Source organism: Homo sapiens, chromosome 11, assembly GCF_000001405.40.
Source record: "Homo sapiens chromosome 11, GRCh38.p14 Primary Assembly".
Classification (NCBI taxonomy): domain Eukaryota; kingdom Metazoa; phylum Chordata; class Mammalia; order Primates; family Hominidae; genus Homo; species Homo sapiens.
This window is the reverse complement of record NC_000011.10, coordinates 61,575,980-61,588,480: the sequence shown is the minus strand read 5'-3', so window position 1 is coordinate 61,588,480 and position 12,501 is coordinate 61,575,980. Positions and strand designations below refer to the sequence as shown.

Below are 12,501 nucleotides of genomic sequence, written 5' to 3'. Positions count from 1 at the left end.
TCCCACCTGTCCCTCCACCCTGCCGGCTGCCCGTCCTCTGGCAGGCCACGCCCCAGGCAAGCCACGCCCCTGACAAGCCACGCCCCTCGCCTCAACCCTCTCACCTTCCTAAGGGGATCACAACGGGACTTCTGTGACTATTAAGCGGGATAATGCGTGTTATGCACTTGGCACCCGGGCCTGGCAGTCCCTCGGAGCTCAGTAAGTGCTGCCGGCTGCTCTGATGATTATTATAGAGCAGGATTGGATTCTGGCGCTCAGGCTGGCAGAACCAAGGAGCCCAGCAGCTCCCCCAGAGGCCTTGGTGAGGGAGAGGGCCTGGCCACCTGAACTCGCCCAGCTCTCGGAGTGCTGGGGCCCCTCCCGTCATCCTCCTGAGCCCAGAGCCAGGGATCGCGGAACCGGGACAGTCACAGCTCTCCCGGTGCAGATCACCCTTCCACCTGCGAGGGATAGGCCCCACCCCCACTAAGGTCTTCAACTCCAGTTAGGGCAGAGGGTGGGGCCTCAATCCTGGGGTTGGGGATCCCTCAGAGAGTCATGTCCCCCGCCCCCCCATCTGTGTACCGTCCCCCTCCTCCCTCTGGGCCGGCGTGGACGGGTCCTCTCAGGTCCGCGGTAATTTGTCTGCTCACGCGGGCTCCGCGGCACCCCCTCCGCGCACGCGCATCTCTGCCCCGGGCCGGATACTCGGGGCGCTCGGGGTGGGTCCGTCCAAGTTGCAGAGAAAGACTTCAATGTTGGGGGCGCCCGTCGCTGGAGGGGCAGGCCTCGAGCCCAGGCCGGGCGTTTGCGGGCGCTCAGCTATTAAGAGCGGAGACGCCTCGTCCCCCGCCCCCCAGGAATTCTGCAGCTGGGACTCAGCCCAGGCGCGCCTTCTGCGCGGCCCTGGAGGACCAGGAGCGCGGGCGGCGAGTGGTGCTGGCTGGGGTGGGGCTGCTGGAGCAGGTCTTGGGTTGGTGGATTCTGGCTCCTGCCCTCTCACACACCAAGGCCTGAACCCTGGACTTCTCAGAGCCTCAGTTTCCCCTTCTCAGCCTCAGCCTCAGACCTGGAAACAGGTCAATTGCTATCATCGTGGGCCTGCATGCCTGTCTGTGCAGCCTCAGCTGGGCGGGAAGAAGAGTAACGGCCCGCTGAAGGCTGGGGAACAGGTCCCCCACCCCACACTACCAGACTCGGCCTGGGCTCCCTGAGAGGAGCGGGGCTTGACCGCTCTACCAGCTGGGCTCGGGTCTGGGGTTCCAACTCAGGCCAGAGTCGTTCAGCGCTGGGAGGCCCCCATTAACTAGGCCACCCCTGGGTATGGGTGGTGGAGGCTGGAGCTGACTGGCCTGAGTCCCCGGGGGAGGTGGCTGAAAGGCCCAGGGCTTTGAACAAACCACAGAAGGTTTCTGCAATATCAAAAGAGCTCTTAGAGACTAATCATGTGGGGGGAGGGGGGACAGTTGGCGAAAGAGCTTCTGCTTGGTTCCCATCAGCGGAGGATCAAAAAGCATTTGGTCAAAGAACCTTTAAATACCTTGAAAGGCAGGTGAAGCCAGTTCAGTGGGTTCCAAGAGGGATTGAAATGCTGGTCTGAGCTGCAGACAAGCTGGCACCAGCCACAGGAAATGCTGGGGGAGGGGCCCACTGAGGCAGGAGGGAGAAAAGGTGTGGATAGACCAGCAACCCACCTCCCTAACTGTCCCCTCTTCCCCCACACCCAAAAGTCACTGCGGAGAGGATGGGGAGGGCAGAGAACTGGGTTCAGACTGACAGCTGGAAGCAGTCTTGCAGGCTTCTGGGCCAGGGGCTTTTCATCTGGAACCCGAAGGACCCCCACCCCAAACACACACCCAATTATGGGCAAAATGTTGTGTCTGTGTTTGTATATGCACTTTTCTAGGGAGGAGAGGTCCACTGACTTCATTAGATTTTCACAGGGGTCCAAGACCCAGTCAAGATTAAAAAACAACATCCTATGGTACAGACTGGTAAAATGAGGCTCAGAAGGACTGAGGGGCTGACCCCGGGTCACTCACCTAGTAATCAGCAAACTGAGGTGCTTCCACAGTGCATCCCAGGAAGGGGATCTCAGTAGCCCCCATGGCCCTCAGTCAGTCTCAGGGGTCCCAGAGCTGCCCAAGGGGTAGGGAATGTCTCAGAGCAGAGGCCCAAGGCCAAACTTCTGCCCAAGCCTGGGGCTGTCCCAAGGCAGAAGAAGGAATACCAACTTCAATCTTTTAAGGGTGGTGAGGGATTTGAGGGGCTGAGCCAAACACTTGGGGAGTGTCAGGGTGACCATGGAGAAGAGAGAGACTGAGAGCCAGAATCTGGATGAAGAGGTTACAGGGTGAAGGGGTGTGGGAGGACAGATAGGGTGAGGGTGAGGTGGGAATATGGTTTCTGGCCCTGTAACATGGCCTGAGAGACCCTTGGGGGCCTATAGCTATGGAAAGTCAGCTTGCAGCAGGGTCTTTGGTGCCTGGGGTTACCCCTAGGGAACCAGGAAAGACAGCCAGCCCTTGCCATCTCCCCAGGGTATTCTCACATCTTTGTGTGGAGCAATTCTTAGCCTTATTTTACAGATGAGAAAACTGAGGCCCAGAGATGTCAAGTAACCAGCCAAAGCCAAACAGAGAAACAGGCAGAGGTAGGACCCGAGTTCGAGTCTCAGATTCTTCCCTTGATGCTGGGGTCCAAACCCTGTCTTTTAGCACCAGGGCCCCAAAGCAGAACCTGGCAGAAGTGTGACAAGCATAGACTCTGGGTGGGCCTCTGAGATCTGGTAGTTACTGGGTCTGGCGAGAGGAGGCAATAGATCAGCAAGTATTGATGGTGATGAGGTGGGTATAGAGATGGCTGCAGCTGCCTCCTAGTAGTTTGCTCTCATGTCCTTTCTGGGGTGGAGATATCTGTTAACTTTATACTTTTATCTTCTCCAGACTCTTGTCCTCTGCAGAGGAGGAAGGGGAAGTCTAGGGGGTAGGAGAAGGTACAGGATGACAGAACAAGTCCTCACTCCTGGCCGGTCACCACCAGTGGGCTTTGCTGTTGCCCTGCACAGCCAACTTCCAGCTGGTCTAAGCCTGTCCCTCCTGAATCAGGCGAATGCTCAGCCTGAGTCTCTTGCCACATGGATGATGGCAAGGAGAGAGGTGTGTTTGTTCTGTCACGTGAGCTGCACAAACAGCTTCCTCAGCATTTTTATTAATAATTCAGCCCATAGCCAAGGGGGTGGGGGTAGGGGGAAAGGACTGTGGGGAGACAGCAACAATGAAGACCATGCCAGGTAGAGGCCAGAGGGGAACTCAGGAGCCCTGCCTCCTAGCCATGGCCTAGCAACAGAGCCAGGCAGCATCAGGGGCCCTGTTTGGGAGAGTGCAGGCCCAGCATCTGCTCCTGAGGGACAGAATGTCCCTCCCTGAAGCCGACCCAGGACTCCTGGCCCTGAGGATGGTGCCAGATCGGAAACAGGCCTGAAGGGTCTGCAGCACACAGCAGGGCAGTCCTTGGGGAATCAGGTGCTGCCCGCATTTCCTGCCACGTCATGGAACCCAGGACAGGGGACCAGCAACGAAACAGAATGAGAGGGCCTCTTTGGGCCCCCCTTCTGTAGGGGCTGGAAGGGGAGAAGCTGAATGCCCAGAGGCTCAGGCCCTCCCCAATGAGATACAAGACCCAAGGGCAGGGCAGGGGTGATTCACAGCCTCTGATCTTTTTCCTCAGAGGACCTGCTCACTCCTGCAGGCTCCATTTACTGCCTCTACCCAGTTCTCCGTGAGTACTCAGAAAAGAATTGGGATTGGATTCTGGCGCTCAGGCTGGCAGGGTCAAGGAGCCCAGCAGCTCCTAGAAGCTCACAGTTGGCTCGGCTCTCATCGATATTCCAGCAGGAGAGATTAGCCTTCTAATGCAGCAGAATGGTTCATGGTTAGACATCTGGAAGAACTTTCCTGACAGGCAACACATGGGAATGGGGAGTATGTGTCGTCTCTGTTAAGGGTAAACAAATAGCAACAACAATAATAATAAAGGCATTCAAAAAGTATAAGGAATAAATTATATGTTCCAAGTATCTTTTTTTTTCCTTTTTTTTTTTTTGAGACGGAGTCTCATTCTGTCACCCAGGCTGGAGTGCAGTGGCACAATCTCAGCTCACTGCAACCTCCACCTCCCGGGTTCAAGCGATTCTCCTGCCTCAGCCTCCTGAGTAGCTAGGATTACAGGCGCATGCCACCACGCCCGGCTAATTTTTGTATTTTTTTTTTTTAGTAGAGATGGAGTTTCACCATGTTGGTCAGGCTAGTCTCGAACTCCTGGCCTTGTGAACTGCCCGCCTCGGCCTCCCAAAGTGCTGGGATTACAGGCGTGAGCCACCGCGCCCAGTCCCCCAAGTATCATTTTAAGTGATTTGATTTTTTCACCATGCTTAAACTTAACAATAGTCAAAGGAAATAGGTGTTATTATTCCCATTGTAGAGACAAGGAAACTGAGGCCCAGAGGTGTCTGCCCAGGGTAAACACAGCAATGATGGCAGCGCCACATAAATCTGTATTCTTTCCTCTTTCCCATGACTCTGCGTCCCCTAAACAAAGTGACTGAGGCCCAGAGAAGGGGTGTCTTCAAAGCTTTTTCTGTGTCAATGCTGCAGGCAGGAATTTAAAAACTACCCAAGATTCCCAATGCCCCAGAGCCGCAGTTTGCACAACTATATCTCATGGCGTTTCTCTTGTGTGTCTGAGGAGCTGTCCAGCTCTGACATCCTGGAACAAGGACCGTCTAATGCCCGTGAGGAGAGGATGAGACTGGGCTTCGTATTCTTGTAAGAAACAGGCTATAAGCCCTCAGATGGGAGCAAGCACTGGGTCTCCTCATGAATCCCACAGTGGTTAGCAAAGGGCTGGGAGTCTCAACCAGAGTGATTCTTACTCCAGGTTCTCTCACCAGCTCCCCAGGGTGCTGGCTCCGGGGCCTTTAGCTCCCTGGGTCAGTTCCTTCTCTTCTAGAGGCCTTGCCTTCATCACCTGACACTTGCAAGGGGCAGCCTGGGGCATCTCTCAGATGTCCTCTCTGTCAACTCTGAAAAACTTTAGATGCTTAGTAAAGACCTGTTGAGTGGTGGTGATGAGGAATTCTGCTCTCCCTCTCTGGACTTTCAGATTGATGGGTGGAGGGATCTGGAGTGGGGAGATTCCTCAGCAGGGAACCTGTCTGTGTGCCCATCTGTTGTGGGAGGGTGAGGGGTGCCCTATTTGCTCTTTTTTTTTTTGAGACCGGGCTCACTCTGTTGCCCGGGTTGGAGGGCAGTGGTGCAATCATGGCTCACTGCAGCCTCAAACTACTGGGTTTAAGCCATCCTCCCGTCGCAGCCTCCCGAGTAGCTGAGACCCCAGGGGCGCACCACTACACTGGGCTAATTTTTTTTTTCTTTGTAGATATGGGGTCTCACCATGTTGCTCAGGCTGGTCTCAACTCCTGGGCTCAAGTGATCTTCCCGCCCCGTCATCCCAAAGTGCTGGGCTTACAGGTGTGAGCTACCATACCCAGCCCCTGTTTACTCTTTACTAGGGTAATGAGAGAGGCAGCTGGGGTGGGTGGGGGAATGAGCCAAGGTTGCAGACCTTGCAGTCCCAGCCTGTTGGCTTAGCTTTCTGGGGTTTGCCAGGTCCCAAAGCAGAGTGTAGATAACTCCTGGGTTCTTGGCTGTACTTGGGTGAGTGGGGGGAAGACAGCTGTGAGGTGTATGGAATAGGATGGCCCTTCCCCAGAGGGTGAGGGCTGAGATTTCTGGCCACTGAGGAATTGTGGCCTTAACCTACGATGCCTTTTTTCCTTCCATTTTTATGTAGAACATTCATTCCCAGGAAATCTGCTCTCCACTGGAACAGTCTTCATGGAGGTTTGCTGGGGGAACTTCCTTATCTTTTTCTCAACCGGAAAAGCTGTAGGTGGAGGTGAATGTGTATGTGTGTATGTGTGTGTGTGGTGGTTGTTGGGGATAGCCTCCATGTGATTTCAAGGGGATGGGGTCTGTTTGTGTGTGTGTCGGGGAGACTTGAGATAGAGGGTTGTTCCTGGCTGCCTTCCACACTGTGGGCAGGTGGAGGTGTGGCTGGGCATGAGTAGTGCAGTATAAAGCCAGCAAAAGTGGATTTCTCAGGGTGGAAATAATAATCCTTGACTCTAGGAAGCCTGGCTCACCTGCAAACTGCATTCTCAGCACAGGGGAGGGCAGGATGCTGCCACAGACCCAGGGATTTTGCCCTCTTACCTGACCCATCAGTGAAGGGTAGGGGCAGCACCTGTATTGTGGGGAGCGTCAGTGTATGTGTCTCTTTGTGTGGGCAGCATGTCTGTGTGGGTGTGTGTGTGGGGGGCATCATGTCTGTGTGTGTGTGTGTGTGTGTGTATGTAGGTGATTACGTGTGTAGGTGTGTGCAGGGAGGTCTCTGTGCCTACCATACCACTAATGGTTCATTTCTGGGTTTTTCTTATCCTTAGGAGACAGGTCTCTTCTCCTCCCTGCCCCAGAATCAAATCATCCAAATTCTGTAGAGAAATGAGTGTTCACCTGATTTAGACTGTGCTGAGCCGGCAGAGAGGCAGAGGGGACCAAGAGAGGTCCAGGGTTGGAAGGAGAAGGAGGGATTTCCTTCCTACCCTCCGAAGTGCTAGGGTCAAGGAATAGAGGGGAGGATCAGAGGAGGAGCTGCTGCTATAGAGGGATAGCCAGAGGCTGAAAAGTCTATTTTCTTCTTTCGTGGGGCTGGGTTAGGTGAGGAGGGTCACTAGGCCAAACCTCCTACCGAGGGCAGGGATCTTAGCCCTTTCGGCTCCACCTGTGTGCGAGCTTGCAGAAAGACCGGACTGGCGGACCCAGGCTCAGCGCTGCCAAAAATTCCACTCCTGGTTTTTGCACACACCAGTCCGTCTGCCCCGGACCGCCGCGGTGTTGAGTCCGGAGCTGACGCCCTCGAGCCGCCAGCAAGCGGAAAACCCGGAGTGGATCTCCACGCCTTTTGGATCGGAGCCAAAGGGCACCTCGGAGGAGGTGGCCGGCTCTGCGGCCCTGCCCGGTGCCAGGCCGCGGCCATCGGGGGAGCACGGGCTGGGGGTGGGTCGCGCAGCGGAGCCGGATCCCCTGGCCGGACGAGCCCGGCCGTGGGGCTCGGCGGCCCTCCCCGCGGGGACTGCGAGGCGGGCGGGGCGCGGGGCGGCGGCCGTGCCCTCGGGGCGGCTTCGGGCGGCGGCGGGCGCGGGTGCAGTGCGGCGCGCGGCCGGCAGCGGGCGCAGGCGGTGGCTGTGGCCGCGGCGTTCGGCGGCTGGCGGGCGGCGCCGGCGGTGCCCCGGGCGCGCTCACACACGCGCTCACACACACACATACACACGGCCTCGTACACACACACACGCTCCGGCGCGCACACGCGGCGCGCAGGCCGGAGGGAGGCGGCTCGGCGCTGTTCGGCGGCGGCGGCAGCGTGCTCCGCGGGCGGGCGGGAGGGCTGGCGGGCGGCCCCCGCTCCCCGGCTCCGCGGCTAGGTGCAGCCCGCTCGGCCCCCGCCCTCGGACCCGCCCCCGGGGGTCGCCCGGCCCCATGCCCAGCGGCGGCGGCGGAGCAGCGCGCGGCCGCGGGCGGCTCTGAGGAGCCCGGAGGGAACCGGCGACGAGGGGACCATGTACCGGGACCCGGAGGCGGCCAGCCCAGGTAAGCGCGGCCCCGGCGGGCTGGGGCGCCCCGCACCGGCGGGCAGGACAGCGGCAGCGCCGGACGCCGTCTCGGAGCCCCAGCCTGGGGCTGTTGTCCGCCCGGAGCCGCACGGGCTCCCCCAGGGGTCATCCCAGCCCCGGGGGCGCGGGATCGAGCGGCAGCGGCTCGGACCCCGGTCCCCCGCAGTCTGGACACTGCCAGGCTGGATGTCTGGGACCGGCTTCGCAGTGTCCCCACAAGGACCTCTCCCCCACCCCTCAACAGCCCAAGGACAACGTGTGTGGCGGAGCGAGGAGCCGCTGCCCCTGTGGGAGCCGGGCAGTGCCCTCAGAGGCACCCGAGGCTCCCCAGCACCGGTGCCCCGGGGGTGCCAGCGCTGGCGGACCCCAGGGCGAGGATCCCGGCAGCTCTTGGCCAAGGTTGCGGGCACAGGGGAGCGGAGTGGCATCGCAGTGCCAACTGTGAATTGAGAGGGTGCCAGGGGGCAAGTGGGAATCTGGTGCGGCAGCTGGGCAGGGAGGTTCTGGGGGGTGGGGAACTGCAGGGGCGTTGATGGGTGAGACGGGGGTGCCTGAAGGGAAAGAGAGCAGGGGCTCATGAGAATGGGGGTGCCAAGAGAATGTTCTCCTAGGTTTGGGGAGGGGGAAGCAAACAACCCCAAACTCTCTCCCGTCCTGGGGTGGGGGAGGGCCGAACTCCTTTGCCTTCTGCTTCGCCCGCCAGGGGAGTGGCCTGGGAGCCCACTGTCTGCTTGGTATCCTCTAAGCCAAAGCCGAAGAATCTTCCCGTCTTCCTCGGAAATTGCTCTGCCATTTCCTCCTTGGCTCCTGATGCCTCCTCACCCAGTGCCCACCTGTAGGCAGGTCCCCTGCAGCTCCTGCCCAGGCTCCATCCCCGCTCCCACCTGGGGTGCTCCACCCAGTCCCAGCACCCCCAGTCTGCCAGTTCTGGCATCAGGGTCTGTTTCTGGGCTTCTCTCTGATGCTAAAAGCACGACTCCCCAGCCCAGGATGTGCTCCCAAACGAAGAGCCTCCAGGCTCCCTCCTGCCAGCCTCCTGGGGGCGGCGGTGCTGTAGGGAAGGAAGGGCTCTAAGACCCTGCACAGAAGGAGCCTGCAGCCCTGAGGCTCCTGAAGGCAGTCCAGTGGGTGCTGGCTTTGCCCACTGTTGCCCTAGCCCCACATTTGCTCTTTCCCCTCTAGGGGCAGCCTCAGCCTGTCCCTGCCTCCTGAGGAATCGGCTCCCACCCCCCATCGATTCTTTTCAGTCCAGTCGATATTGAGGACGACCCACTGGGCGCCAGGCACTGCCCTCACTCAGCACTTGGATATGAGGGTGAGAGATTCAGTCTCCTTCTCTGGAACCTTGCGCCCTTCTCTGAATGTCCTCTAGGTGAGGGCTGAAGGGGCATTGCCTGTGGAGAGCCCTCCCCTCATCTGTCTGGACCTAGGTCACCTACCCTGGCATCTTCGTCGAAGAGGCCGCCGGCTTCCAGCCCATGGCCCGTGGCAGGAGTATTCTCTTGCTCTGCTCACCTTCTTAGAAGCCAGTAGCTTAGTTCAGAAGCCAGCTCTGGGGTATGAGGATGGAAGGTAGGGAAGAAATAAGGACACTATCCATCCCCTCGCCCACCAGGCTGGCAGCCTCCCCTCTGGCCTGTTAGGCCACTGGCCTGGGGCTGTGCCCTCTCCCCTCTCCCTCCCTCCTCTTTCCTCCCATGCCTGGGCACCATGACATCACCACTCCTCCAAGCACCTCTGCCCTCACCACGGAGGCCAGCTTGACGTGCTTGGCATCTTCTAGGCAAAGGGTCTGGAGTCCAGTACCATCCCTGGTGTGCTGGCAGCCCTCAACTCTTCCCTCACCCCCTCCTTGAATGGGCCTCTCTGGCTGCAGTTGGGACCTGTCTTGCCCACCCCAGTTGCAGCTGCGGGACCCACCAGTGCCTGTGGTAGGGCAGCTGTGACTGGGAAAGGGGCTGGCCTGAGGCTGACTCCTCTCCGGTGTGGGCATTGGGCTGGGTGGGGTCAGACATAGGCTGGAGAGGGCACAGTCTGCCTTTGAGCCTAGTCATCTGGGGTCCTTGAGGAGTCAAAGATCTCATTCTGGCCTCTGCCCTCTGGCATCCCTGCCCACCTTTGTAGGCTCTATAGTTCCAGGTCAGATTTCCCTTCCCCCCAGCTCCCCCAAGGCTCCCTAGACTCAGCTCCCCAAGCCAGGGCTCTGTGTCCCCCATTTCTGCCTCCCCATCTCCCCTTGGCTGGTACTGGTTGGTACTGAGATATGCAAATTGATTTATGTGTAACTCAGGCCACCCCTCCCCTCCCCTCTGGTCTCCCAGGGGCCAGTGCCTTTTATATCCTGATCCTCTCATCCCACTCTCAGGAACACCTGCGGCCCAATCCTTAAAAAAAAAAAAATCTGTCCTCTCCTGCTCCCCTTTGCCTCATGCTGGTTCCAGAAGATCCCTGTGGTACTCCCTCCCTCATCCCACTTACTATGCAGGTCCCTAAGGGCTCAGCTACTGTGAGGACCTTACCTGACAGGTGTGGTTCTCTCCCTACTTGGGCCTCAGGCCCCCAGGCCCTTGGTTCCCTGATCTATTGTGAATGAAGAAAAGGACTGTGGGAAATAATCGGAGTCCAGTGAAGAACCCAGACCAGCCCCCTCCCATGCACACCCAGGCTCCAGCTCCACACTCTGTCCAGCCTCCCTAGACCAGACCTGCAGCCTCCCTTCTGCCCCCTCCCAGACTTCACGGCCTCTTCCTGCCCTCAGCCTTCACCCTCTGGTTCATCCTGAAGTCCCTGTTTCTCTCGGACTGCTTGTCCCCAGGCCAGGCAGGCCCCAGCAGGCCTGCAGGGGTCAGCGTTGCAGTGGGCAGGCAGGACAGCGGCAGGAAAAGAGAGAGGGAGGGAGAGGTGACCTTGCAGTGAGCTGGTAAGCAAGGCCAGAGAGGGAACCACTGGGACAGAGGTTAGGTCCTGAAGGCTGCCTGCCCTGCCCCCAGCCCTCTGTGAGCTTGTCCCTGGGAGTAGTAGTGCTTGAAGCCTTCTTTTGTCCCACCTGTTAGTGGGCTCTGTTCCCTACAGACACTCCACTAGGCAGGTCGTGACTTGGGAGCATGCAGGGCAGGGGGCCTTGGCACAGCGGGCCTCTTCTCTCAAGGTGAAGGATCCACTAGATTGTCCAGGCCAACCCTCCAGTCACTGGGCACAAGTTAGGGGAAGAGGCTGATGGCGGGTGAGGGAGGTGCAGAAGTTAGGGGTGTGGCTGAAAGGGCAGATCAAGGGTATGCCCTGAGGAACACCTGGGTTAGAGGCCAGGGCTGGAGTGTGGGAAGGTCCAAGGAGGCCTGACTGTGTCCACCCATTTCACCAACAACCTCTCTCCTCCCACCTACCTCCCCAAAGCCTGCCCCATCGGCACATGCCCGGGCCTCCCTGGCCTGCATCCTGGGCTTGAGTTAGAGTCCGGACTGAAGATCGAATGATCTCCCCACAGGCCAGGACACAGTGGAGGACCTGAGGCTGGGCAAGTCTAAAACCCAGAGGGGGTGAGGATGATTTCAATGGGGCATGGGCCAGGGTAGCCAGTGCCCCCAAGCTGTTGTGTTACCATGGAGACAGGCCCCCTCCAGGGCCCTGGTTCACACTGTTCTGTGGCCTTGCAGGGAAGCTTGATCAACAAGCTGCCCGCTTGAGGGCTGGGGCATAGTGGGGAGGGAGATAGCCCCAAAGCCCCTCCTCATACTGGGGAGGGGGTTAGAGCAGGCCGGATTGAGGTGGGAACGTACAGGCCAGTAGGTGACAGGTAAGGGGACAGCTGGAAGGCAGGTCAATAGGTGGGTGCTGGGTGAGCAAAGACAGGCCCTGGGCAGCTGGGTTCTGCTCCTGGCTGACCCCAAGCTCAGGCTTAAGGGGCATTGAGGGCAACATGGAGTGCCAGTGGGGGCTGTCTCCTTGTTACACCCTCTAGCCCGGCCATTGCAGGATGTTGTGTGGAACAGGCAGAGGAGCCGTATATGGTTCCCTCCCCCTCCTGCCCCTCCTGAGTCCCCCCATCCTACTCCCCACCCACCCCCTATTCTCTCACGGACTTTGAATCCTTATTGAATCTGATGGACCGTTTTCGTTTTCAATAACTGGTTCCCCCAGGGGAGTGAGGCCAAGAACAGAAGAACAGCAGGGAGAAGAGCTGGGAGGGGTCACGTGGGGGCGGGAGGCCCAGTCCGGAGCTGATGACCCCCAGCTGGAGAATGAGTTGGCTTGATGGCTCCTCAGAGCACTGTGGCATCACAGGTGGGCATGGGCAGCCCTGTATAGAGCTGGTCCTCTGCTCCACAGACAGTGCCCGGCAGGTGGCATATGTGGCCGAGAGGTCAACTTTCTCTCGTCGGGGCAGTCACTGGTCTGGCCAGGTGCCGGCACCAGCCTGTGCCAGGCCCAGCCCGGGTGCCTGCCTGCCTTGCCAGGGAACCCCAGCTGGTGATGCCAGGTGAATTCTGCCAGTTCCGTGGGCATGGAGGTCCCTGACCTTCCAGGCAGCAGGGGCAGCCCTGCTGGGCCCTGTCCAACTAGTGTCTGCAGGGCAGGGCTTTGGTCTCACCCAGCAGAATTCCCCAAGGGCTGGAACAGAGTTGGCAGACAGCATGGGACTTGTGGAAAGGGCTGGACTGTGCCCAGAGCTTTGGCCTGGAATTCCAGGTCCAGTTGGTTGGAAGGCGGGCAGGTGCATCCGGCCTGCTCTGGGGAGTCTCTGCAGCCTCCACCTGGAAGGACCCCTTGGGATAGAATGGACCGGGAGC

General features: G+C 59.1%; 1 protein-coding gene and 1 long non-coding RNA gene across 21 annotated transcripts in view, besides 4 other annotated features; both read left to right on the top strand.

Annotated features, from left to right (window-relative positions):
* SYT7 (synaptotagmin 7) overlaps positions 94-12,501 on the top strand; it is a 74,674-nt gene continuing 62,266 nt past the window's right edge. For 9 of the 17 annotated variants that reach the window (XM_011545343.3, XM_011545340.3, XM_011545337.3 and 6 more), the window contains exon 1: positions 94-201. In XM_011545343.3, the coding sequence (XP_011543645.1) occupies positions 153-201 (49 nt within the window). In that variant the 5' untranslated portion in view covers positions 94-152. Of the gene's footprint in view, positions 202-7,404; positions 7,692-12,501 lie in introns of those variants that run through there. The other 8 variants (NM_004200.4, NM_001252065.2, XM_005274384.3 and 5 more) reach the window with 1 other exon arrangement.
* On the top strand, positions 208-7,075 carry LOC105369331 (uncharacterized). Of its 4 annotated transcripts, XR_950166.3 has the most exons (5): positions 208-3,140; positions 3,712-3,965; positions 4,729-4,808; positions 5,836-5,885; positions 6,488-7,075. It is a non-coding gene; the product is annotated as an uncharacterized LOC105369331 (long non-coding RNA). The 4 variants fall into 4 exon arrangements; XR_001748243.2 differs by lacking the exon at positions 6,488-7,075 and having other exon boundaries at positions 5,836-6,275; XR_001748244.2 differs by lacking the exons at positions 4,729-4,808; positions 5,836-5,885; positions 6,488-7,075 and having other exon boundaries at positions 208-2,828; positions 2,928-3,140; positions 3,712-4,033.
* Positions 1,137-1,716: an enhancer, noted in NCBI's record as "H3K4me1 hESC enhancer chr11:61354237-61354816 (GRCh37/hg19 assembly coordinates)". NCBI's record gives its function as "activates a minimal SCP1, AML or CMV promoter by ChIP-STARR-seq in naive H9 embryonic stem cells {active_cell/tissue: H9 hESC(naive)}" and the evidence as "EXISTENCE:reporter gene assay evidence [ECO:0000049][PMID:30033119]".
* Positions 6,955-7,114: a silencer, noted in NCBI's record as "silent region_3396". NCBI's record gives its function as "represses an Ori minimal core promoter by ATAC-STARR-seq in GM12878 lymphoblastoid cells {active_cell/tissue: GM12878}" and the evidence as "EXISTENCE:reporter gene assay evidence [ECO:0000049][PMID:35858748]".
* Positions 7,125-7,274: a silencer, noted in NCBI's record as "silent region_3395". NCBI's record gives its function as "represses an Ori minimal core promoter by ATAC-STARR-seq in GM12878 lymphoblastoid cells {active_cell/tissue: GM12878}" and the evidence as "EXISTENCE:reporter gene assay evidence [ECO:0000049][PMID:35858748]".
* Positions 7,295-7,384: a silencer, noted in NCBI's record as "silent region_3394". NCBI's record gives its function as "represses an Ori minimal core promoter by ATAC-STARR-seq in GM12878 lymphoblastoid cells {active_cell/tissue: GM12878}" and the evidence as "EXISTENCE:reporter gene assay evidence [ECO:0000049][PMID:35858748]".